At 50.2% G+C, this 24,579-nt stretch overlaps 1 protein-coding gene across 4 annotated transcripts in view, besides 1 other annotated feature; it reads left to right on the forward strand.

Annotated features, from left to right (window-relative positions):
* IGSF21 (immunoglobin superfamily member 21) overlaps positions 1-18,422 on the forward strand; it is a 270,686-nt gene extending 252,264 nt beyond the window's left edge. For 3 of the 4 annotated variants that reach the window (NM_032880.5, XM_017002604.3, XM_017002605.1), the window contains 6 exons: positions 2,054-2,169; positions 5,162-5,636; positions 16,249-16,334; positions 16,739-16,931; positions 17,332-17,370; positions 18,195-18,422. In NM_032880.5, coding sequence (NP_116269.3) covers positions 2,054-2,169; positions 5,162-5,636; positions 16,249-16,334; positions 16,739-16,931; positions 17,332-17,370; positions 18,195-18,265 — 980 coding nt within the window. In that variant the 3' untranslated portion in view covers positions 18,266-18,422. The remainder of the gene's footprint in view (positions 1-2,053; positions 2,170-5,161; positions 5,637-16,248; positions 16,335-16,738; positions 16,932-17,331; positions 17,371-18,194) is intronic. The other variant, XM_011542319.4, reaches the window with a different exon arrangement.
* Positions 23,057-23,856: an enhancer, noted in NCBI's record as "H3K4me1 hESC enhancer chr1:18709612-18710411 (GRCh37/hg19 assembly coordinates)". NCBI's record gives its function as "activates a minimal SCP1, AML or CMV promoter by ChIP-STARR-seq in primed H9 embryonic stem cells {active_cell/tissue: H9 hESC(primed)}" and the evidence as "EXISTENCE:reporter gene assay evidence [ECO:0000049][PMID:30033119]".

Genomic DNA, 24,579 nt, shown 5'->3' on the forward strand with positions numbered 1-24,579 from the left:
AAGACAGAAAGAATGCACACATGTTAAGAACTCAGAACAGGTCCTGATTCCTAAGAGTTAGCCGTTGTGGATTCTTGTGTGGGATCCAGGTTTTCGGTTGAGTTTTGGAAAGGTTAGATTGCAGAATCTGCAATTTCTAGGTAATTGACGTGTTCTGCTGTATTTTTCCCTTCTCGGAATTCCTATCCGGCTTACCATCTGTTTTATGCGATCTTACGCTTAATTACAATTCTCCAACTATTGTTCTCCCATTGTTTTCTGTGTGCTCTGCTTCTCTTGCTGACAGCATGGGTTGGCTCCCTGAATGAATGAATGACTCATACCTGATTTCATTTCACTAGGCCTTGAAATAGAGTTGCCCGTGTGTCTGTCGCCCCCACCTGACTGTGAACTTTGCAATGCTTCACCTGTTTCATCATTGGGCACCTCCTGGCAGCACCTGGCATTGTTCCCGGCACCTAGTAGGTGTCAGGAAATGTTTGTCGAATTTAATTAAACTTAACTAGAGTGAAAACCCCCTGAAGGAAGGAAAGGCCCATACCTCTTTATTTTCTCTGCTTCCCTCCCTGTGCGTGTCCCAAGGCTGGGTAAATCAGAACTGACAGCTTTTCCCAAGTGAGGCTCTAAGATTCTGGTTCCTGTCCTGCTGATTATGAGGAGGTTAGGGAAATAATAGCAGAAATCACAATAATAGCAAATTCCTACCATATGCTAAGCATTTTCATATGCATTAGCTAGTTTTGTCCTGCAAAAATGTCTGCCAAGTATTAATATTATTCCCATTTAGCAAATTGGGGGACTGAGGCTCACAGTTTTGGTGACTTGCCCAAGCACGTGGAGGTGGTGGTGACCGAGCTGAGATTCAGACCCAGGTGTGCCTGATGGCCCAGTCCCTGCCCCTTGCGATGCCCCACGGTGTCTGGGAGCAAGGGTTTTGACAAACCAGCCAGGGGCAGTGGGTGAGGAGAGAAGAGAGGTTGAGTGGGTGGGAGGGGTGGCCAACAAAAATAAGCCAACTTCCAGAAAGGATGGAAGGAAAGACTCCTGGCCACAAATAGCTGTCCAGCTGCCCCCATCCAAGTGTACGGTACCATCCTCCCCAGCTGAAATTCCCACTCTGTTTTCAGTCTCTTCCAAATGCAAGTCAGATGATGTCACTGCTCTCACTGAAAACCTTCAGTGGCTCCCCATTGCTCTCAGGATAAAGAAGAAAAACCCAAAACCTGTGCTTTAAAGATAAATCAGCCCTCTGGGGGCTAGGGCAGAGGAAGGGGGGAAAAGGCCCCAAAGTATAGCAGTTGCTGTTTTTTGTGATGTGAAGATACTCACTGTGACAAGTTACAAACAGTTAACCGCCGGTTCATAAAATTCCTGAAAATGTCACAACCTGCTCCAGCATGCCAGTTCAAGTCATAATCCCCCTGACAGCACACCACGTGCTCTGTGCCCTGCTCATATGCCCAGCCCCGCTGGGCACCGCATTCCCCCTGGCCTGCCCCGCTCTGTCCTGGCCAACCTACTGCGGGCTCTGGCACAAAAATAATCCAGGCATGGTGGCACACACCTGTGGTCCCAGCTACTTGAGAGGCTGGGAATCTCAGGACTTGTTAAAACTCAAGGTGTTAAAACTCAAAGCTCCTTCTACCTGCCACGCTGTCTCCCACCCACTCTTGTGACCTCAGATCACGGCAGCAATGTGGCTGCTTCAGCAGCGTCTGCCCAGAACTCCCAGGCTCGGGCAGAGTCCCCTCAACACACTGATGCCTCCGGGGATCTGATGCACTTCACACTTTGATCTGTGCTATCTCTTGATTCCTGTGTGTCTTCTACACTAAACTGTAAGCTCCAGGAGGGGAGGGCTCTTGTCTATATTCCCAGCAAGGACGTGTTCCTCACTGTAGTGGATACCAATGGCACCCCCTGGAGTTTGGCAACACCTGCCCTCCCCCACCCCCGGCACCCAGCATGGACGTGGCCCATCTTAGGTCATCAGTGAACTCTTCCTGAATCTCCCAGTTGAGCCCTTGTCTTCCTGTGCTTCCTTTTGGGGCAGCTCCTCCCACCTCCATTGAAGTGGTGGCTGCTGACACACCAGCCCCCTTCAGCCGCTACCAAGCCCAGAACTTCACGCTGGTCTGCATCGTGTCTGGAGGAAAACCAGCACCCATGGTGAGTACCCCTGGAGTGCCCAGCTCCTTCCTATCTGCCGGACCACCCTGCTTCGGGGCTGGTCCAGCTGCAGGTGTCGCCACTGTGCCTGGAAAGGGAGTGGTTGGCCAGGGCTGACTCTGTCCCCATCTGCCTTGGTCTGATCCCGTTTACCCATTGGACTGGTCCAGGCATCCATGTGCCCCTGTTGCTACCCATCTCCCCATGCTGAGAACCCCCACTTCTCCTGGAGACAAAGTACTAGAACTTCACAGCAGGAGCAGCCTTTCGGGGAGCCCAAGACCCAGCATGCCTGACCCCAGTTATTGAGTCCCACGGAGACAAATGAAAGGGGGCCCCGAGAGGAAAAGGGGCTTGTCCCAAGTCACCATGGCACTCCTGACAGAGCTGGGTCTCAAGTCCGTGTCTCAAGCTCCAGGTTCACTGGCATTCCCAGGAGCCCACATGATCAGCAGGAAGCCCATCTGAAAGGAGGGACAGGATGGAAGGGCGAGAAGGAAGGGAGAAAGGGAGGGAAGAGAGAGGAAATTCCTTTTTGACCAACTTATTAGACCCAACATAGTTTCTTTGATATTTGTCAGTGCAGTTCACGAGATTTTTTATGACCTCTTGAAGGGGGTGGGGCAGGAGGTGCAGCGTCCAGAGAGCTGGGGTCCTGGCCCTGCTGTACTCACTGAACAACCATGAGCAGGAAATGCCCCCTCCCCACTTCTGCCTCTGTTTCTGCAAGGAAGTTTAGGGGGCTGGACAATATTTGTTTTTCAGCTTTTTTAGTAGCACGAGGACCCTTTTGGTCTAAATGATATACAGGGAAGCCTCATATATATGACATTTAAAAGTGAAGAGAGGCCAAGTCACTCTCATTGCACCTGAAGCACCTCTGTAGAACCCGTAGGCTTCCATGAAACCCATTTGGAGAAAGTTTGGGCTACGTACCCTTTCAATTTTGACATTTTATAATACTTTGGGTCTTGATCCTGTGAGTTTCGCACAGTACTAGGATTTAGCAAGGTGTGGAGCTAGAGCAATGGGTACATAGGATTACAGTTCAAGACGGGAGCCAAATGGTTCCCCTCATTCCAGACCCAATTGTCTCCCAGGCATGGTCCAATTGTGCGGCCTTGGGAATCTAGGCCAGCCCTGCCTTGCGACCTGGGGCAGGGTGGTAAATGGGTCTGTAGAGGTCCAGGACAGGGCAGTAAGCAGGTGCACAGAGACACAGGTGGGGCAGCTGGCAGGGTCACAGGGATGCAGAGATACAGGTGAGGCAGTGGGCAGGGATGCAGAGACACAGGTGGGACAGCGGGCAAGGGCACAGAGACATAGGTGAGGCAGTGGGCAGGGGAGTAGAGACACAGGTGGGGCAGTGGGCAGGGGCACAGAGGCACAGGTGGGGCAGTGGACAGAGGTGCAGAGGCACAGATGGAGCAATGGGCAGGGGCACAGAAGCACAGGTGGGGCAGTGGGCAGAGGTGCCGAGACACAGGTGGGGTGATGGGCAGGGGAGTAGAGACACAGGTGAGGCGGTGGGTAGAGGTGCAGAGGCACAGGTGGGATTGTGGGCAGAGGAGTAGAGACACAGGTGGGGCACTGGGCAGGGGCACAGAGACACAGGTGGGGTGGTGGGCAGGGGAACAGAGACAAGCCTCAGTCCCTAGGAAGTGGACCCAAAAAGGTAGCTTCAAAGCCAGTTGCTGAAAGCAGGACATGACCCCAGATTTTCCCCTTTGGAGGCCATAGACAGGTCCAGTCTCCCTAAAATCAGGAAAGCTGTTTTTTTCTCACAGAGAAAAAGTCCTTTCCTGAAAGGCACAAAGAAAGGCTTTTCACAGCCCAGGGGCTGTAGGAAGACCCCTCCTACCCAGCCTGTCTGCCTGCCCCAACATTTGCGACACGGCAATAAAATATTCAGATATAGACATGCAAAAGAACCTCATCTCCCCAAATCCCAGGCATCTTATGTTTGCCTGAGACATCAGAACTTTAAAGTAATTCTTTGATATAAATTACAAACCTGCATTTAAAGCACTTTTCAAAAAGAAAAAAGGAAAGAAGAAAATAAATGGGGGAAAAAAAACCAACGCAGGCTATCATGTGCAGAAGAGATTCTTTGTTGGCATTACAAACTCCGACAAAAATCCTACATTTCCTACCCCCATCCCCTCCCACCTCCTTCACCCCCCTGCAGTCCCTCCCTCCACACACTTTCCTTCCGCTCCCCCACCTGTGTCCCAGAGAGCTGCATCCCACTCTTCCCTCTCCCGCCCCCCTATCGATTTATTTATCAGATTTATTAAAAATACATCCAATCCCCTCAGGAATCTGGGCACATGTACCAAAATAAAAAGACAGCAAATTAAATTAAATGCCGCCTCACAAAACTTGAGTTCCCCGTTAGCAGAGAAAGTGAGGAGATGTTTGCTCTCACCTCATCCCCGCACCTAGCTTCCTCCCACACATGCACCTGTTTTCTGCCTTCCATCTCCAAAACGCACACGCACAGAGATTCTTTCTTCCCTCATCCTCTCCCAACGTCTCACTTCATCCCCGGTGCCTTCCATTTTTCCCTCATCCCCAGGACCTCCCTGAGTGGGCATGGACCACACCCTTGGGCCCCAGGTGGTTGCCATGGTGTAGGCCGAAGTCCCCATTTCCCATGTGGTTCCACTGATGCACCCAACAGCCCCATGAAGCAGGTGTCTTATTCTTCTCTTGACAAGTGAAGAAACTGAGGCTCAAAAAACCTCATCAGTTGGTAAATGATGGGATTGGGCTAAGCCTCTGCCCCAAGGGCCTGCATGTGTTCCCATTGTACCACACTGGCTCATAGTTCTTGGGGGTGTTGAAGGGAAAAGAGTGGGGTGAGGGCTACTGTCTAGACTACTATGCTCTGGAAGAACTGGCATCCTGTGCCCAGTTCATCGGAGAACCCACTGGGAGGTTGAAGTTAGTAGCACAAAATCATTTTCCCACACCCTCCTTACAATGGCAGGTTTATTTCAAACGAGATGGGGAACCAATCGACGCAGTGCCCCTATCAGAGCCACCAGCTGCGAGCTCCGGCCCCCTACAGGACAGCAGGCCCTTCCGCAGCCTTCTGCACCGTGACCTGGATGACACCAAGATGCAGAAGTCACTGTCCCTCCTGGACGCCGAGAACCGGGGTGGGCGACCCTACACGGAGCGCCCCTCCCGTGGCCTGACCCCAGATCCCAACATCCTCCTCCAGCCAACCACAGAGAACATACCAGAGACGGTCGTGAGCCGTGAGTTTCCCCGCTGGGTCCACAGCGCCGAGCCCACCTACTTCCTGCGCCACAGCCGCACCCCGAGCAGTGACGGCACTGTGGAAGTACGTGCCCTGCTCACCTGGACCCTCAACCCACAGATCGACAACGAGGCCCTCTTCAGCTGCGAGGTCAAGCACCCAGCTCTGTCGATGCCCATGCAGGCAGAGGTCACGCTGGGTAAGACTTGGTGGGGGCCCTTCTGTAGAGCCCTTGCAGACCTGGGTGTGGGGAGAGCCTTGGAATAGGGTTCCTGGGCTGAGGACAGCCATGGAAAGGGGGAGGAGATGGAGCAAACTGGAGTCAGGATGAGCACAAATGGTAGAGTCAGGTTCTTAGGGAGGTTTGCTGAGCTGGATTGGAGAAGATGGGAGGTACCCACAGGCCAAGGTAGTTTGCTGGGTTGAGCCAAGAACATGAGAGGTCAGAAGAGTTTGCTGGATAGGGTCAGGGACACAGGAGATCAGGGGAGGTCAGAGGAGTTCCTGGATTAGATCAGGAACATGGGAGGTCTAGGAGGTCTTCTGGAAGGGTCAGAAACAAGAGATTGAGGAGATTTGCTGGGTTGGGTCAGGAACATAAGAGGTTGGGGAAAAGCAAGGGAGTCACTGGGCTGGGTCAGCAACATGAGAGGTCAGGGAGTTTGTACAGTCCAGATAAAAAAGATGGAAAGTCAGAGAAATATGCTGGATTGGTGTTAAAAACAGGGGAGGTTTTCTAGGTCAAAACTGGAACCAGGATGTTTGCTGGGTAAATAAAGTATACACAAGAGTCGGGTTTCTTCAGGAAGGGTTGCTGAGTCAAGTCAGAAGCATAGGTCAGCGTGAAGACCAGGGGAGGTCAAGATTTTTCTAGTCAGCCTCAGGAGCACAAGAGATCAGGGGACATTTGTCGGATCAAGGAGAGGAACCTTGAGGTCATGGCATGCTCAGGGGAGTTTTCTACATCACAGGTGGGAACATGGGAGGTGACAGGGAGATTTTCTGGATTGCATATGAGCCCAGTGAGCTCAGAGGACAGTTGCTGCATAAGGGTTGCAAACCTGGGAGGTTGCAGGCTTTGCTGGATCGGGTTCGAGAATTCTGAAAGTCATAGGAATTTTTGCCAGGTTGGGGTCAGGAACACATAGGACATGGAAGGATATCACTCCGGCTTACACTTTTAAGTACAATGAAAACCCTGTCATCTGTGGGTATGTGGGAGGCAGGCAAAGAGGACACTGGCTGCCCAGAGACAGCTCAGCCCAAGAATCTAATCCATGTCCATGATCTGCACCTCTCCCCACAGAGCACCAACCCAGGGATCCCCAAAGCAGTTCCCTGGTAACTCACTCTCTTCCCCTTATACTGGTCCTCCCCACTGACTCAGGGCAGGGAAAGGGGAGATGTGGAATCTTCGTTGCTGAAAATATACAAGACTCATCTCCAGTTGTTTGTATGGACTGGGTGGGCGAGGGCAGGGGATGGGCACGATGACCTGTGCTTGTCCTTTCCCCTATGTCCTTTGAACCTTGATTTGCAGCCCCCAGCAGCTCCTCCCTGAGCCCGAGATGCCTGGGCTCATACTCCAAAACTCCTGTAGTGTCAGGGGCTGCCTGGAGCAGTCCACAGCCTCTAACCCAGGCCACTCATGACCAAGGACTGAGAGCAGTAACTGACAAGAATTGGGACTGCAGCTTGTGTCAGGTGTTCTAGAGAGCTTCTGTTTCATCTGGACCATCAGAAAACCCAACACCTCCTCAGTATCAAATACCAAAGAAAAGGATTTCTTGTACGGATAGTATGTACTATGTGCCAGGAACATCTGCAAGGATTCTCATCCAATCCTCACAAGCACAAGTTGGCTGTGTAGTCTCATTTTGCATATGAGCAAAACTGAGGCTCAAGTTGGTAGAGTACTTTGCCAAGTCGTTAACTTTGTATGTAGCGGCGTTGAAATTTCAAGCCAAGTTTATTGGTGCCTTCTTCACTCACTACCATGCCAACCACTGAACTCACCAGCCCCAGGATGTGGTGTCTTGACTGGTTATGGGACTGGTTCCCTGAAGACCCATTACAATGGACCTTTGATATTCTCTCTCTCTCTCTTTTTTTTTTTTTTTTTTTTTTGACAGAGTCTGGCTCTGTCACACCCAGGCTGGAGTGCAGTGGGTGATCTTGGCTCACTGCAACCTCAGCCTCCCAGGTTCAAGTGATTCTCCTGCCTCAGTCTCTCAAGTAGCTGGGATTACAGGTGCCTTCCACCACATCCTGCTAATTTTTTTTTTTAATAGAGGTGGGGTTTCACCATATCGGCCAGGCTGGTCTCAAACTCCCAACCTCAGGTGATCCACCTGCCTCGGCCTCCAAAGTGCTGGGGTTACAGACGTGAGCCACCGCACCCAGCAGCCTTTTGATTTTCACAGGCCACCTGCCCATACAGAAACTAAAAATAAAGGCTAACATTTAGTGAGCACCTACTATATGCCACAGACTGTGGCCTCTCTTATATTAACCCAGTGAGACAGGCACCATTATTATCCCATGTCACAGAGGAGGAAGCTGAGGCTCAGGGAAGTTAAGTTGCCCAAGGTGAGTGGGGGAGAATTCAAAGGCTCCAGAGTCTGCTCTAAGCCTCTCACTCTGCCTCCTCACGGCGTCCCTCTGTCACAGGTGCCCACTTCCTGGGTACTCTTTGTTCATCATTCCATAAAGATATCACAAGCAGGGCCAGGCACAGTGTCTCACGCCTGTAATCCTAACACTTTGGGAGGCCAAGGCGGGTGGATCATGAGGTCAGGAGTTCAAGACTAGCCTGACTAATGTGGTGAAACCCCATCTCTACTAAAAAAAAAAAATACAAAACTTAGCTGGGCTTGGTGGTGTGTGCCTATAATCCCAGCTACTCAGGAGGCTGAGACAGGAGAATCACTTGAACCCAGGAGGCAGAGGCTGCAGTGAGCCGAGATTGCACCACTGCACTCCAGCCTAGGTGATAGAGTGAGACTTCATCTCAAAAAGAAAAAAAAAAAGTTGGGGGGAAAAAAGATATTACAAGCATCACAAGGCCAGGCCCTGTACTAAGTGCTGGGATCTTCCCAACCCAGAGCCTGCTCCGACCCCTCTCTTGGTCCTCCTGCTTTTCCAGCCCTTCACTCCTCTCTCTGGACCCTCCATCCTTCCATGGCCTCTTCCTCCCCTGACAGAGCAGCCTCCACCCTTTACCTGGTTGCTTCATTTATGAAAGCCCCCTCCTGCCCCTCTTGTGGAAGCTCTGGCTTCCAGCGGGGTGGCACCCTTGCCCCACCCCACCAAGAATAAGGAGGAGAAAGATGAAAGGCCAGATACAGACTTCAAGGCAGCTGGTGAAAAGTGAGCTTGTAGCTGACATCTTCTAGTGATGAGAGGGGGTGTGCCTCTGCTGGCCTGTGTGACCCCTATCAACAGCACCCCAAACCACATTAAAGCACTTGCCTGCTCTGTCCTGGATCCCAGGCCCTCCCTTAACTGGAGCCGCCTCTGTGGGCACCCCCACTCATCATCAGAGCAAGAGAAAGAAGGGCCCACTCATAAGCAGTGGGCCTGGACAGGCAGGTCTGCACACACCGGGGGATTTGGGGCATGGGGGACACAGCAGGGCCACCAAGATGAAGGGCCCTAATTGGGTGGGTGAGTAAAGAGACACCTGGGCTGACTTCCTAGCCTCCCTCGACTGCTGAGTGAGAATTCAGACTTCTTAACGTCTCTGAGTCTCAGTTTTCTGACCTGATGAAGGGGGAGAATAGTAACTGCACAAATGTTTTGAGCACCTACTCAGAGCCAGGCTCTCTGCAAGATGCTTTCCTCACCAGGTCTCCTTTAAACCTGCAGTGAACCTGTGAGGCCGCTGAGAGTTGCTATCATATTATTCCCATCTGAGAGGTGAGGGACTCAGGTTTAGAGTAACCTTTCTTAGGTCAGCCAGCCAAGGCTGTCTGGCCCCAGATCTCACATTCTTAACCACTGTGCTCTACAGCCCACCTGTCAGGGCTGTGGTGAGACGTCACTGAGCCAGGGGATATGACCAGTGGAATGTGCCATGAGCCAAAGAGTCGTGAGTGTATGCACCTTGCACCATCAGGGCACCCTGCACTCTGGGTGAGACAGTGGGACGGATTAGATGACCTCAGAGCACAAAATCCAATCATTCAACAAGGATTTTGAAGATCAGGCCAACGAGGGTGGGATGTGTCTCCCTGCAATGAGCCTTCGCTCCTCCTCTTCCCTTGCAGGGATGCCCTCCGCAGCTGAAATGCCACCCCTCCAGGAAGATTTCTCTGACTCTCCCCCAACCCTTTGAGCTGTTTGTGCCTCTTCTCAGTTCTTGTCTCACCAGATTTGTACCTTTCTCGTAATCTGGACCACAGATGCCTGAGCGTCCTGGCACCCATCTCACTAAATGGCAACCATGTCCTTCCCATTGATCAAACCAGAAGCCTTGCAGACCCCTCACCTTTTCCACTCTTCCCTCCTATCCCACATGCAAACCATCATTAAGCCCTGGCAGCTCAACTTCAGAATATATCCCAAATCTGCCACTCCTCACGGTCTCCTCTCCAAATACCCAACCCAAGCACCATCAGTTCAAGCCTGGGTTATTAGAGTAGCCTTCAAACTGATCGTTCTGCTTCCACTTTCACCCTATCCTATTTCCCACCCCGATTGATCTACTTAAAATATAAATCAGATCATGACACCCGCCCAAAACCTTCCTGTGGTAGACAAATAGATTGACAAAACAGGATAGAGTCCAGAAATAGATCTACATACACAGAGTTCATTGATTTTTGCCAAAGACCCCCAAGGCGGTTCAATCAGGAAAGAGAAGTTCTCTTAAAAAATGACCCTGAAACAAATGAATAGGCATAAGGAAAAATTAAACCTGGACCCCTGCCTCGCACACACACAAAAATTAATTTGAAATGAATCATAGATTTAAAAGTAGAAGTCAGCATCATGAAGCCTCTAGAACAAAACATAGCCTTTGTGATATTTGTGTAACAAAGGTTTCTTAAAGTGGTCACAAAATAAAAACTAAATAAAAACTAAATGATAAATTGAATTTGGTAAATTGGACTTAATCAAAAATTAAATCTTCTGCTCTTACAAAGATATCCTTGAGAAAAAAGAAAAGCAAACTATAGAATGAGAGAAAATACTCTCAATACATATATCTGACAAAGCATTTGTAACCAGAATATATAAAGAACTATGACAAATCAATAATGAAAGACTACCCAATTTTTTAAAAAAGAAAATATACAAATGGCTAATAAACATGTAAAAACCTACACTACATTATTAGTTATTAGAGAAATGAAGATTCCAACCTCCATGAGATACCATTTCACATCTATTAGAGTGGCTAAAATTTTAAAAACTGACAATACCAGATGTTGACAAGAAGGTAGAACAATCAGAATTCTCATGCTTTGCTGACTGCAGAATAAAATGGTACTACTACTTTGAAAAACTGGCAGTTTCTTACAAAGATAAAAATATTTCTGTTCTTATGACCCAACGATTTCACTCCTAGGTATTTACCCAAGAGAAATGAAAACATATGTCCACAGCAGCTTTATTCATGGCAACAGCAAAAACAACAGAACTGTAAATAATCTAAATGTCCATAATTAGAAAAATGAATAAACGTATTTGTAGTATATTCATATAACAAAATACTTTTTATCAATACAAATGAATGAACTCATGATACCTGCATTAGCATGGATGGAGCTCAAAAACATGTTGATCAGGCTGGGCACGGTGGCTTACACTTGCAATCTCAGAACTTTGGGAGGCCGAGGCAGGTGGATCACTTGCAGCCGGGAGTTTGAGACCAGCCTGGCCAACATGGTGAAACCTCGGCTCTACTGAAAATACAAAAATTAGCTGGGTATGGTAGCTCATGCCTGTAGGCCCAACTACTTGGGAGGCTGAGGCAGGAGAATCCCTTGAACCTGGGAGGTGGAGGTTGCAGTGAGCTGAGATTGCGCCACTGCACTCCAGCCTAGGCAATAGAGTAAGACTCCATTTCAAAAAAAAAAAAAAATGTTGATCAAAAGAAGCCAGATGACAGAGTACTCACTGTGTGAGTCCATTTATTTGAAATTCTAGAACAAAAAATAAATATCCATTGATAGAAATGGGAACAGTGTTGGCCTATGAAGAATGGAAATTGACTGGAAGGAGGCCTCTGCTCGAGTCCTCTACTCAGAGGGTCCTTCCTTGAACACTCTATCTAAAGCAGCCTCTTCCTCCTGGTTCCTTCCACCCCTTCTCTTGCTTTGTTTTCTTACATAACTCATTTCCACCTACAAGTATATTCTATATTTGCTTATTGTCTGAATCGCCCACAAGGTAGGAATTGAGATTTGGTTTTAGATGTAATGGCAGTCAGGTGAACTGGCTTGAACAATTCATTCTTCATATATGTTTTAACTGTGATAAAATTTACATATTGGGAAATGCAGGTCCTTCAGTGCACAATTTGACAGATTTTAATAAATGTGAATGCTGGTGTAACCACCACCTCAACCAAACTCTGCGCATTCCCATCACCCACTAGAATTTAAATGGCACATGGGCAGGGTCTTCTTTATCCGCCTAGTTCACAGAGTACAGGGCTCAGAACAACCCCAACATAGTTCTTAATAAACAACTGTTTAATAGTTAATTAATTAATGCTTTTCTAGGTTGTTGAGAAGATTAAGTAAGGCAGTGCATACAAAGTGCTTATAGTGACAGGCAGAGGAAATATTCAGGAAATATAAGCTACTGTTATTATTCATCATAGTATCCCCAACAGTGACCGGGAATAGTGACCACCACAAATTAGGTGTACAATAAAGAATTAGATGGATAGAGCAAATGAAGAAATGGATGGGTAAGCAAATTGGTAGGTTTATGGGTAGGCACTTGGATGGATTGTTGGATGTTTGAATAGATGAATGAATAAAATGAATGCTTGGATGGATGGAAGGATGGATGGATGGATGGATGGATGGATGGATGGATGGATGTTTTGATGGATGGATGGATATTTGGATGGATGTTTGGAGGGATGGATGAATGGGTGGATGTTTGGATGGATGGATAGATGGATGGATGGATGGATGGATGTTTGGATGGGTGGATGGAGGGATGGATGGATGAGTGTTTAGATGGGTGGATGGAGGGATGGATGGATGAGTGTTTAGATGGATGAATGGATGGATGGATGAATGGATGTTTGGATAGATGTTTGGAGGGATGGATGAATAGATGGATGTTTGGAAGGATGGATATTTGGATGGATGGATGGATGGATGGATGGATGGATGGATGGATGGGTGGATGGATGGATGGATGGATGGATGAGTGGGTGAATGGGTGAGTGATTGTCTTAGAAAGCATCCAGAATTCCTAGGGGAAACTTAGAGGAGCTTTTCCTTGAGATTCCACAGTACTATCCTTGCATCAGGATGCTCAGGACAGGTAAGGAAGGCAACTTATATGTCCAGGATCTTTTTCATTCCCTGAGCAGATAGACATCACTTTACATTTCACATTGCAGTCTTATCTCCCTCCTCCATTGTCATTTTCAGAGTATTTCCTCAAGCAGGGTGGTAGCCTATTCTCCCCATTTACAAGTTAGAAAACTGAAGCCCAACAAGTTGAAATGACTCATCCAAGTCATGCAGCCAGAAAGTAGAGGGCTAGGTGTCAATCCTGGGTCTCTGGACTCCTGCTCTTTCTCTACGTCCAGGGCTTGAGAGGCAGGAAAGTCCGGAGACTAAGAGCATTCCTTTCGGGCACTCTCAGCCATTGTGGTCTAGAAGCAGGCAAGGGGGTGTAGGTTTTGATTGTCTGGAGCTGCTAATGGGCCAGGCTCGGAGTGTCAGGAGGCTGAGGGTGGAAGGAGTGAGGAGGCTGACAGCAGCAGGCTTGGCTTCCAGAAGCAACATCTCAACACAGCAGTAAAAGAGGGAGTCAGGGACCATCGGCTGCAAACGCACTTGTCTAGTGGCAGCTGCCAGGATAGAGCTTGAAAGCAGCGAGGGAGGACCAGACCCCTCTTCTGCCCACCCTCTGTGCCCCTCAGGATCAGATGCACACAGGAGCCCAGGAGCCGGGGTGCCCTGGGTGGAAGAAGGCACCCATCTCTGCCCCACCTCCACCCTTGGGCTCTGAGACTCCCTCTGAAGCCCTATGTGCTATCACGTCTTGTTACTGGTACTTCCTATAGCATGACCTTGGACAAGCCACTGCCCCCCTGGAGGGCCAGTTCTATGACCTGCACAATGGGTTTCGTGATAACCTGCCTCGTAAGTACCAGAATGGTGTGACTGTCCTAAAATGCCTAAAATGGAGTCTAGCGCATGTTTGACACCTGAGAAAAGTTGGTTCCTTCTTCCCTTAGAACCAGCAGGCCCAGGCCCGGGCCTGAAGGAGTAAGGCAAGCCCTTTAGAAAGCAGGGCAGTGAGGAATCTAACCTAGAAGGGAAAGGTGTCTGCCCCTGCCCTCCAGGGCTCTAGCCTTCTCCAGGACCGGGATGCCCTTCAGCGCCCTCTCCTGGCTGCAGCCAACAATGCCGCCCCAGCAGCACCTGAAGAACGTAAAGAGCCCCCAAGATTACCCAGGGGCAGACTGCCCTAGGCCTGGTTTCCCATCTGCAAAACGATGTCTACAGCACTTGAGGGTTCATTTTAAAACCCAGAAACTTACTTGGGCTCCCTGAGCCTTCATTTCCTTATGGCGACAATCTCAAAGGCTGGAAGGCTAAATGAGATTATGCATATGGCACTTCATGTAGGTCCTGGCTCTTAGGACTCGCTAAACAAATGTTAGCCATCAAACCTGCCACTGCCTGATGTTCCTAACGGCCCCGCGTGTTAGGCAAGGGGTATCATTGTTCCCATGGTGCACTTGGGAATGCGAAGGGGAGCCACTCATCCAAGGGCGCAAAGAACAGATTAGAACTCAGCTCGCAGGTATCCCAGGCCAGTGGCCCTTCCACACGACTGGCTGGCAGATGCAGCTGTAGAACCAGCCCTTCCCTTCCCAGCGATTCCCTCTCCTTGGTGCAAGCCCTGCTCTTCCCACGGATGCTTCCCTAGACCCATGTGGCATTTCAGATGTCTTGCTTATGGTTTAATTAATAGTCCTTTGATTTCATTCTCAGAGAATGAAATTGGCAGTGCCTGGGAGGCCACCCACATCTGCCAACTGCTCTGATTTCCGTTCTAAGAGCTTTGCGTCAGAAAGAGAGGTCCGGGGACCAGCAAGGAAAGGTGGGGGTAATCCCAGGGCAGCCCCAGGGCCTCAGGACAAACCTTTTCCACCCTTAGAAGATGTTTACACAGAGTAGCACAAAGCATAGAGTACCAAACAAAACCCTCACCCCTTCCTCCGGCCCTGGAAACTCAATGGGATCTGTCTCCCAACCCCCTTCCCTCCCTGACCTGCCTCTGTCCCATGCCCTGGCTGTTCCCTGTGCCTGGAATATGCCTCGTGAGCTTCACAGCTCAGCTTAAATGTCACCTCCTTGGAAGAGGCACCCTGACCACTATCTGAGGATTTCACCCACCAATTCTGAGCCCCCTCCCTTGGTCTAGTGATCTGCATGGAGCACTGTCACTCTCATCCTGTTTTGCGTATGTGTTTGTTTGCTTATGAACTCTCACCCCTACTGAAGTGGGAGCTCCATGTCAGCAGGCACTGGGTCTTGTTCACCACCATATCCTCAGCTCTGCTCCAAATGGCTGGCTCCATAATTACTGTTGAGTGAGTGAGTGAGTGAATGAATGAATCTGGGGGAAAGAGTGCTGGCGAGAAGGTCAGGAAACATGGTTAACTGGCTCTGTGAGTGACCTTGGATAAGCCTCTACATTATCCGTGGAGCTCTGTTTGTCAGCTGAAATGAAGGGAACAGACCCAATGATCCCGAGTGGCTCCTCCATCCCTGATATTCTCAGGTGTCGTTCAGAGGATAGCCATGCCTTTGGGCATCTTGGCTTTCAAGCTCAGAGATACAAAGGGACTGAATAAGAGGTGATACAAGAAAGTGAGGAAGAGAGGCAGGGAGGCTGTGCACAAGGAAGGAGGTGGTCTTTCTTCCCACACCATGTCCACCCCTACCCAGAGGTTCTAGAAAAATCCCACTGGGAAGATTAACCTGTTAGAAAGAGCACTGACTCAGGAGTAGGAGACCCGCACCTTGATCTTGGCTCTCCTCAAGGTGTGACCTTTGGCAAATCACTTCATGACCCTCTGAGGCCCAGTTAACTCAACTGGACAATGGGGCTGATGACACCAGAAACGCACCTCCCAAGGGGGTAGCGTGGGTGGGAGTTGGGGGTACCTCAAGTCTGGCTGCTGGTGCAGGCTGCTCCCCCTCAGCAGCCTAGTAGCACGTGCCCCAGGTACGTTTCCCTCCCTGACCCCACTGTCCACTGGGCCTCTCTGATCTTGTCCCTCATGGCACTGGCTTGTACTTGTCTGTTGTTTGTCTTTCTTCCCCACTGATGTGTGAACCCCCCAAGAGCAGGAATCATGTCCTATATACACCCTTGACTCCCCAGGTCCTAGAGAGCATCTGATTCATTGCATGGGCTTAGGGAATATGTCTGAATGAATGCAGCTGTGAATGAGTGAATGAATGAATGAGCACACTGAGCTTCTCACAGAAGCAGCTGATCCCAAGGATGTTGATTGCTAGACTAGAACTTTCTCTTCCATGTACCCTGTCCCTCCTTTCCTTACTCTCTCTGACCTGGCCTTTCTCTCCCTACAGTTGCCCCCAAAGGACCCAAAATTGTGATGACGCCCAGCAGAGCCCGGGTAGGGGACACAGTGAGGATTCTGGTCCATGGGTTTCAGGTCAGCCTCTCTCTGAGCATCTGGGAGGGTGGTGGGAGGTGGTAGAGGCACCGACCCAGCACCAGCATTCCTGGCAGTCCTCTCTAACACTCTTCCTTTGATCCCCAGCCACATCCAGTGGGTTTCAGTTTCCCAATGTGTAATTGGGAGAATCAGCTCCCATGAGGAATGGCAAAGAGGTGCATGCATGTTTCACACCTTCTAGAACTCAGAGTAAACCTAGCTCTTCAACGAGACATTCTCTTAAGTCCCAGACTCCTCCTCCTCCTGGAGTTCAGGGCAGCCACTCCTAACCCGTCGGATGAGAATGCTGTGCCACCCCTGGCCAGGCAGCCCCTGACCCCTTGCTGATCTGGCAGAATGGGCCCTCCTGTGACCCACCTCTCCCCTGATCTGGCCAACAGAACGAAGTCTTCCCGGAGCCCATGTTCACGTGGACGCGGGTTGGGAGCCGCCTCCTGGACGGCAGCGCTGAGTTCGACGGGAAGGAGCTGGTGCTGGAGCGGGTTCCCGCCGAGCTCAATGGCTCCATGTATCGCTGCACCGCCCAGAACCCACTGGGCTCCACCGACACGCACACCCGGCTCATCGTGTTTGGTATGGCGCGCTCAACTGGGGACTGGGAGAACAACCACAGGGGCGGGTCCTGTCTGGGAGGTTTCCCCAGGAGGAAGAAGCAGTAGGGGCCCAAAATTTTGGGCCTAAATCTCCCAAATTTGCCCTGAGAGGGTGCCCCACTGGGAGGCAGGGTCGCTCAGTGGTTACAACTATAAATCAGCTTCGGACTCAGAAAGAACCTTAGGCAAACTGCTTAACCTCTCTCACTTTCTCCATCTGCAAAATGGGGCTGATACTATCCAGCTCCCCTGAAGGTTGTGTGGCTGCACTGAGACAGTGCGTGTGATACCTCACAGCAGGTGCTGGGTAAAGGGCCATTCCTTCCCTGAGCTCTGAAGGCCATCCACCCTTTGGTTCTCTTTCTGTTTCTTTCCAACAGAAAACCCAAATATCCCAAGAGGAACGGAGGACTCTAATGGTAAGTCTCTACCCTCAGGATTTTTTGCTTAAAAGGGAGTGGCTTTTGAGGCGCCAGAAAGCTCTGGTCCCCCAAACTTCCCATATGCACACCCTTGCCACTCCCTGACACCTCAGGCAGGTCATTGCCCTCTAGTAGGGCAGAGTCAGGGTCCAAAGTGGGCAGAGGTGGGTACTGAGGCAATAAAAAGGGACTCAGCCTGCCAAAGCAGCCAGCTGAGATTTCCAGGGCCAACTCTGCCCCATCTCACCATCCATGGCATCTCTGGCCCTCTTAGCTCAGAGCTTGATCTCACTGCCCATGGCATCTCTAGCTTTCTTAGCTCAGAGCTTGGCTGCCCTGACCTCAGAAGGGTGTGTCCAGCCTCGACCGTGGGGCTGCGTTCTGAGACTCCAGACCACTCCGTAGGGTGGTTGGGAGCATCAACGGATGTCTCAGTGCAGGCCCTTTATACTGTCCTCCCTGGGCATCCCCCAACCTGCTCTAGCCTGAGCACCACCCCAGGGGGCCCAGACGCTGCTCCCAGGCCTGCCACACCCCCTCCCTACATGGAGCCAATCTCACAGTTCACAATGGAGGCTCCCACTCTTGGTCCTCACTGCACCATCCTCATGGCCTCTAGGAAATCTGACCGTAGCCCAGCAAGCCTAGTGGTAGGGGAGGAGATCATGGACAGTTAGGTGGCCAGGTGGCAGAGCTGGGCTTCGAACCCAGTTTGTCCTGATGCTGAAATCCAGCGTCTTTGTTGGGGACCTGGAGGCTCTGCTGTTCTGGAACGGGGTTGGGTCTGCAGGCTCTGACCCTTTCCCTGATTCCTGGCACAGGTTCCATTGGCCCCACTGGTGCCCGGCTCACCTTGGTGCTCGCCCTGACAGTGATTCTGGAGCTGACGTGAAGGCACCCGCCCCGGCCACTCCATCAGGCACTGACATCTCCACGACCGGTTTTCATTTCTTTTCTAAACTATTTCCAGTCTTGTTCTTAGTCTCTTTCCATCTGTGTCTTGGCTTCTTCAGTCGGTTTAATTAAAACAAACAGAACAATTTTCCCCACCTCGGTTTGTGGCTCTGCATTCTTTATCTGTTCAGTAGCAGCAACTGGGCCCCTCCTCCTGGCATTCAGCATTGGGACAGGCACTGAGAGGGGAATGGCAAGGGAAATGGAAGGCATGCTCTTCCCAAATGAACAGTGGACATGGAGCTCACTATCTCACTCAAGTCCTAGCATCCAGGCGTGGAATGTGGCCAGAGACGAGAAATCCAAATTCCTCAGGGCTGAGTATAATAGTCAGCTATTGATACAATAATGCTGCATAACAAACCAACCCAAACCTCAGTGGCATGCAACAACAAGCACTTGTAACTATGTTCATGTTCAGGCTGAAGTGGTTCAGCTGATCTAATCTGGGCTCAGCTGGGCAGTTCTGCTTCAGGCAGCAGGTCAACTGGGCTGGACTCCAAGCTGTGGGTTGGGTTCAGGCCTCCTCCATGGGTTGGTTTGCTCCATGGGTGTTTATCTGGGGCCCACACTAAAGAAGTGACTACCTGACATTTGATCCTCTTATGGTAGACCACAAAAGCTCAAGAAGAAACTCAAACCATTCAAGTATGTTTAAGGCCTCTGCCTGTGTCATGTCCATGAACACTCCTTTAGCCAAAGCAAGTCACATGGCCAAGGCTGACATCAGTCAAGGTCACATGTATGTCAGTGGTACAGGTTTCTCAGAACTTTCTACTCAAACATTACAAATTCATCACGCCATTCAGCTATTAACTCAGAGAGAAGGGCCGAGAGTCTTTGGAGAGGGGGGGGTTTGGCCTCTCTGAGCCATGGTCAAGACTTGGGATTCACCAAGAAGAGCCCATGGAAGATTGTAAGCAGTCTGGATAGGGTAGGTCCTACTGCAGTAACATATTGAGCCCAGATTCTTACTGCCTTAACACAGTTGATGTGGTTTGGACCTGTGTCCCCACGATATCTCATAGTGAAATGTAATCCCCAGTGTTGGAAGTGTGGCCTGGTGGGCGGTGTTAGGATCATGTGGGCAGATCCCTCATGAATGGCTTAGTGCCATCTCTTTGGTGATGAGTGAGTGAGTTCTCATGAGATCTGGTTGTTTAAAAGTGTGTAGCACCTCCCCACTCCCAACTGACTCTCTCTCTTGCTCCTGCTTTTGCCATGTGACTTGACTGCTCCTGCTTTCCTTCTTGCCACAAGTAAAAGCTCCCTGAGTCCTCCCCAGAAGCTGAGCAGATGCTGGCAGCATGCTTCCTATACAGACTGCAGAACCATGAGATAATTAAACCTCTTTTCTTTATAAATTACCCAGTCTCAGGAATTTCTTTATAGCAATGCAAGAACAGCCTAAGCCAACAATAAAGATTTATTTTGGGCTCATGAGAAGCCCAAGTAGGTTAAACAGGCCTGTTCCATCTTGTAGCTACATCACCTGGAATACGTGGCTTCCAAAATCCCCAGGGGAGGAGAAGAGAAGGCTGGAGTATCACTGTGGTAGGCAGAATAATGCCCTCTCACCAAAGATGTCCATATCCTAATCCCTAGAACGTGTAAATACATTACCTTCCATGGCAAAAGGGATTTTGCTGATGTGATCAAGTTAAGCATCTTCAGATGCAAACATCAGCCTGGATTATCCAGGTGGGTTCAATGTAATCACAATGTCCTTATAAGAGGGAGGCAAAGAAGGTGAAAGGCAGGAGAAGGAGATGTGATGGCAGAAGCAAGAGATAGGAGTCACGCAAGGAAGGGGCCACAAGCCAAGGAATTCAGGCAGGCTCTAGAAGCCAAATGGGGCAAGAAAACAGATTCTCCCCCTGGAGTTTCCAGAAGGAACTGGCCCTGCCAACATGTTTAGCCCCATGAGACTCATTTCAGACTTCTGACTCCAAAACTAAGAGAATAAATTTGCCATATTCTTTTAAACTTAGGTTTGTGGCAATTTGTTACAGCAGCAGTTAGGAAACTAATATGATCACCCAGGATGTGATTAAGGCCCAGGCCTAATAGAACATAAATCACCCCTGTCCATACCCCATTGGCCAGGAGTAGTCACATGGCCCAATCTGACTGCAAAGGAGGCTGGGAAATGCAGCTTTCCTGTGTGCCCTGGAGAAGGAAATAGAATGATGACCCCAGAGCATTGCATCTTCCACAGAGAAGCTGGGACCCATTTAATGATTCATTTCCATGAAATGAAATGAATGGAAATTATTCATTCATTTATTTCATCCCATGGAAATGAATGAATTCCGCCCAGGCCAGAGTGGCCAGAGGAGGGAGGACTGGGAGGAGGCTCCATCACCAGAAATGGCTCTCATCACTTCTGCTGCATGAATGCCCTGTGCTTCTTCTCCCTTTCCAACCAGCAGAGACATCACTGAGTCATCTGTGCCTCTCTCTCAGACAGTGCAAATGTCTTAAAGAATCAGGGACATCCCTACAAAAACTCCAGGTGCCAGACACACCAAGCTGAGAATTAAGCATTGGCTCTATCTCCTTGTGGTCATCATAGCCCATTTGGCCCTGGTCAAGTCGGGTCCTGAATGACCATTTCAATCAATTTCCACATTGACTTTCGAATTTCTGACTCCCTAACTTTTCCTTGGAATTCCAGACTCAGATGTCCAACTTCATAATATGGTTCCCCTACCTCACTGGACATCAAATATGCATTTCCAACTTCATGTGGCCAAAACCCAATTTTTGGCTTTCCCTCCCAAAACATGCTCCTTCCCTAGCATTCCCCTTCTCTAGAAATAGTACCATCAACCCAGTTGCTTTGGTCAAACATTTCACTGTTATCTTTCATTTATCTCTTTCTCTCATTCTTCCGCATCCAACCCAATAGCTTGTTGGCTTTCCTCTCAAAACTCATCTAGAATTTACCCACTTTTTTCTTTCCCCACTGCCAACCTAGACAAAGCTTCCTCTTGCCTGGAAAACCACCTCAGCCTCCAATCTGGTCTTCAGATTTCCTCCCCAATCTCCAGTCCAGTCTCCCACATAGCAGCCAGTGGAATCCTTTTAAATCTGTCATGCCACAGCGACCTCCTTCTCAGAACCCTGGCTTCCCATCACACAGAAAACAAATCTGAGCCCTTTACAGGTCGACTGGATGTGGTCTGCTCTGCCTGACCCTCTAACGTGTCTCATCCCCACTCCCTCTCTCCTGTTGCTTCATTCACACTCATCTTTCCATTCACTGAATTCTTCAAGTCCGCTCCTGCTTGAGGACCTTTGTTCTACTTGTTCCTTCCACCTGGAATTCTCTTCTCCTTTGCAGGGCTGGCTCCTCCATGCAATTGGATGGCAGCTTAACTCCCACTCAGAGAGACCTACCTGACCACCACACCCCTCTCCATCGTGCCACCCTCGATTTAATTCTCTGCAAGGCATGCATTATTACCCTATGCTTTTTCTACTTACTTGTTTATTTATTGGCAGTCTTTCCCTACCCTGAGCCAGAACGTCAGCCCCATGAGCACAGGGACCAGGTCTGTATTGTGCACTGCTGTATCCTCACACTTAGACCAGAGCCTGGCACATGGCTCAATAACAAATTATTGAGTGAGTGAATGAATGATGAATGAATGAATCAGTACCTCCCAAGGACCTACTATGAGCCAAGCACTGTGCTGGTCACCAGGCTGCAGAGATGAGCAAGAAAACTTCAAGGAGCTCACAGTCCTGGGTTGGGAAAGCATCTATCCAGCTAAACAATGGAAGTCAAACTGTGATGTGCACTTGGCACCAGGACCTGCTCAGGACGCTGAAGCATCAATGTGAGAGGGATTAGTCAGAGGAGGCCAGTGAGAACAGTAATAAATATTTGTATGCCTGTATTTTGCAAGCTGATAACAAGACAGAAGTAGATGATTTTCAGTTGCTGAAGGCTCTCAGATAATCATCAGTGTACAAACACCCAGGCCTGATCAGCAGGCAACAACAACAGAGTACCCCCTGCCTCCTCCGTCTACTTCCTTCTTCCCCAAAGCCCTGCTCTGTCTCATGGGAACCACCTGGCCCCTCACTGTCTGCTAGCAATTCTACATAAGCCTCTGCTGCACGCTACCTTTGCCTGTTTTCTGGAGGAAATTTTAAAAAAAAGAAAGATGTGTTCCCGCTCTTTTTCTTAACAGAGGGAAGCCCATGTAGGCATGAAATTGGAATTGCCTTGCTCCATTCACAGCATGGTCATTGGGCTCCACTGACCCCTGAGGGGCATTAATATCTCAGCAGCAAGTGGATGAACCACGCAAAGTGGCAGGGGACACGCCCGAAGAGAGCCAGCTGGGAGGCCTAAGGCTAAAGGGTTGGGGCGGCTGCCTGCTTTGGGCTTTGAATTTGAGGACTTTGAGCCCTGAGCAGGCTGAGATGGTGGCTTATTCAACCTGAAATTGAGAAGTGGGAGGACAGCGATGGGCAAAACAGAGCCCAGCCTGAAAGGGGAGATGGATGCTCATTTATTCATCCACACGCTCATTCACTCATTGGACAAACCCTGAGCATCACCCGGGCCAGGCTCTATGCCAGGCAGGAGAAGCACAAAGACAAGCAAGCCAGGCCTTGCCCTTAAAGAGCTCCCATCCATCAGGAATGACAGACCTGGGGGAGAGAGCACTGCAATTCCATGTGATAAATATCAGAATAAAAGTATGAAGAGGATGCAATGGGGCACAGAAAGGGTGAAAGGCTGTTCTGCCCAAGGACATCAGGGCAGGCTTCTAGGAAATGGTGACATTGCAGCTAGGCCTTGAAGGATAAGAGGGAGCATCAAAGTCAACTCTGCCACCAATGCAATTTGGCCCCAGGTTAGTTCAGGTGCCTCAGCTATCTCTCAGACACCAGCCCAAATGCTGCAGGTCACTAGGAGGGACAAGGCCCCAAGTTCTGGTTAGGTTTGCATTGTCACCTGAGAAGACCTCATCTTTAAAAAAATAGACTGGCCAAACACATGGCCGCTGGGCCTGGCCAGACCACCAAGTTCCCCATTCCTTGGAAACTCCACCTCAGCCCATGGCTCTTCCCAGTCATGAGTCCTGGTCACCACCCACCATCTGCAGATTCCCCCAGGGGTACTCTGGCTGTGCAGAGGCCCCCTGGGCTGGTCAGCTGCCTCTTGGGATGGCCCAAGGTGCCCACTGATCCCTGCTGGCTGTAGGTGTGCCCGGCTGGCCGGGTAGATGCAGAGACACCTGCTGGGTCTCAAGGGGGCCACTGTCACCAACACCCACCACATCAGCCCAGGACTCAGCCCCCGCCTCCTGGGCAATCAGCCCTCAGAGTTGGGCTCATCAGCAAGAAGTGCCCACAGCTGGTAGTTAGCAGTCTTGTGTGTGGTGGCTCTAAGATGGGCCCATCTTTTATCTGGCCTGGGCTCTTCAAGTGTGAACACCTGGGGTCCTCCCCATCACTCTGGACACAGGAAGTCGGGGAAGCCATGCCCCTCATCCTATTGCTGCCCCTTCCAGGAGGAAGGCTGCCCCTTCCAGGGAGGAGGGCTGGCGCTGGCTCTATGGTGGTCCATTTGGCCAGGAGCCTGTGAGAGAATCAGAGTCTGTGGTCGCCGTCTTCTCCACAGCATTGGGGCACTGTGCTTCTGGGGCCCAACAGCCCCCACCCCAATGGAAGTCACATGCTCCTCTGGCCCTCTCGCCTCCGCAGACTGGAGACCTTTATCCCTCTTGCTTATACCCTGGCCAGGGCTCTTGGCCAAGCAGGAGAGGATCTGGAGGCCCCGTCCCTGACAGGTAACTGTGACCCAGCAGCCAGCTTCATCTTGGGCCATGGTTACCTTGTCTGCAGGGAGACGCAGGGCAGTGAACTGTGGCTCCCATCCAAGAGGCACTGGCTGCCCTCACAAGACAGTGATGCAGGGTTTTCAGATTTACTGTCCTGACCTCAGAAAAGCTGTAGGTTTTATTAAAGGCACAAGTGTACACAGAGCTGAGAAAACAAAAACAAGACCCCCTGGGCTCTACTCTTGCCCACGGGAGCCAGCAGCCCCAGAAAGACCCCCAAACGTGGACTTGCACATTTCTGGGGCAGAGGCAGGGATGAGGGTGGGCCAGGGTCAGGGGCTGACTCCCTTCAGAAGCACTGCAGTGCCTATGAAAATGAAAGCAAGAGGCAGGGAGAAGGAAAATCAGAGGGAGAGGAGGGGAAGGAGGAGCCTGGAAAGAGAGGGAA

The sequence above is a fragment of the Homo sapiens genome, chromosome 1 (genome assembly GCF_000001405.40).
Source record: "Homo sapiens chromosome 1, GRCh38.p14 Primary Assembly".
NCBI classification, from domain to species: domain Eukaryota; kingdom Metazoa; phylum Chordata; class Mammalia; order Primates; family Hominidae; genus Homo; species Homo sapiens.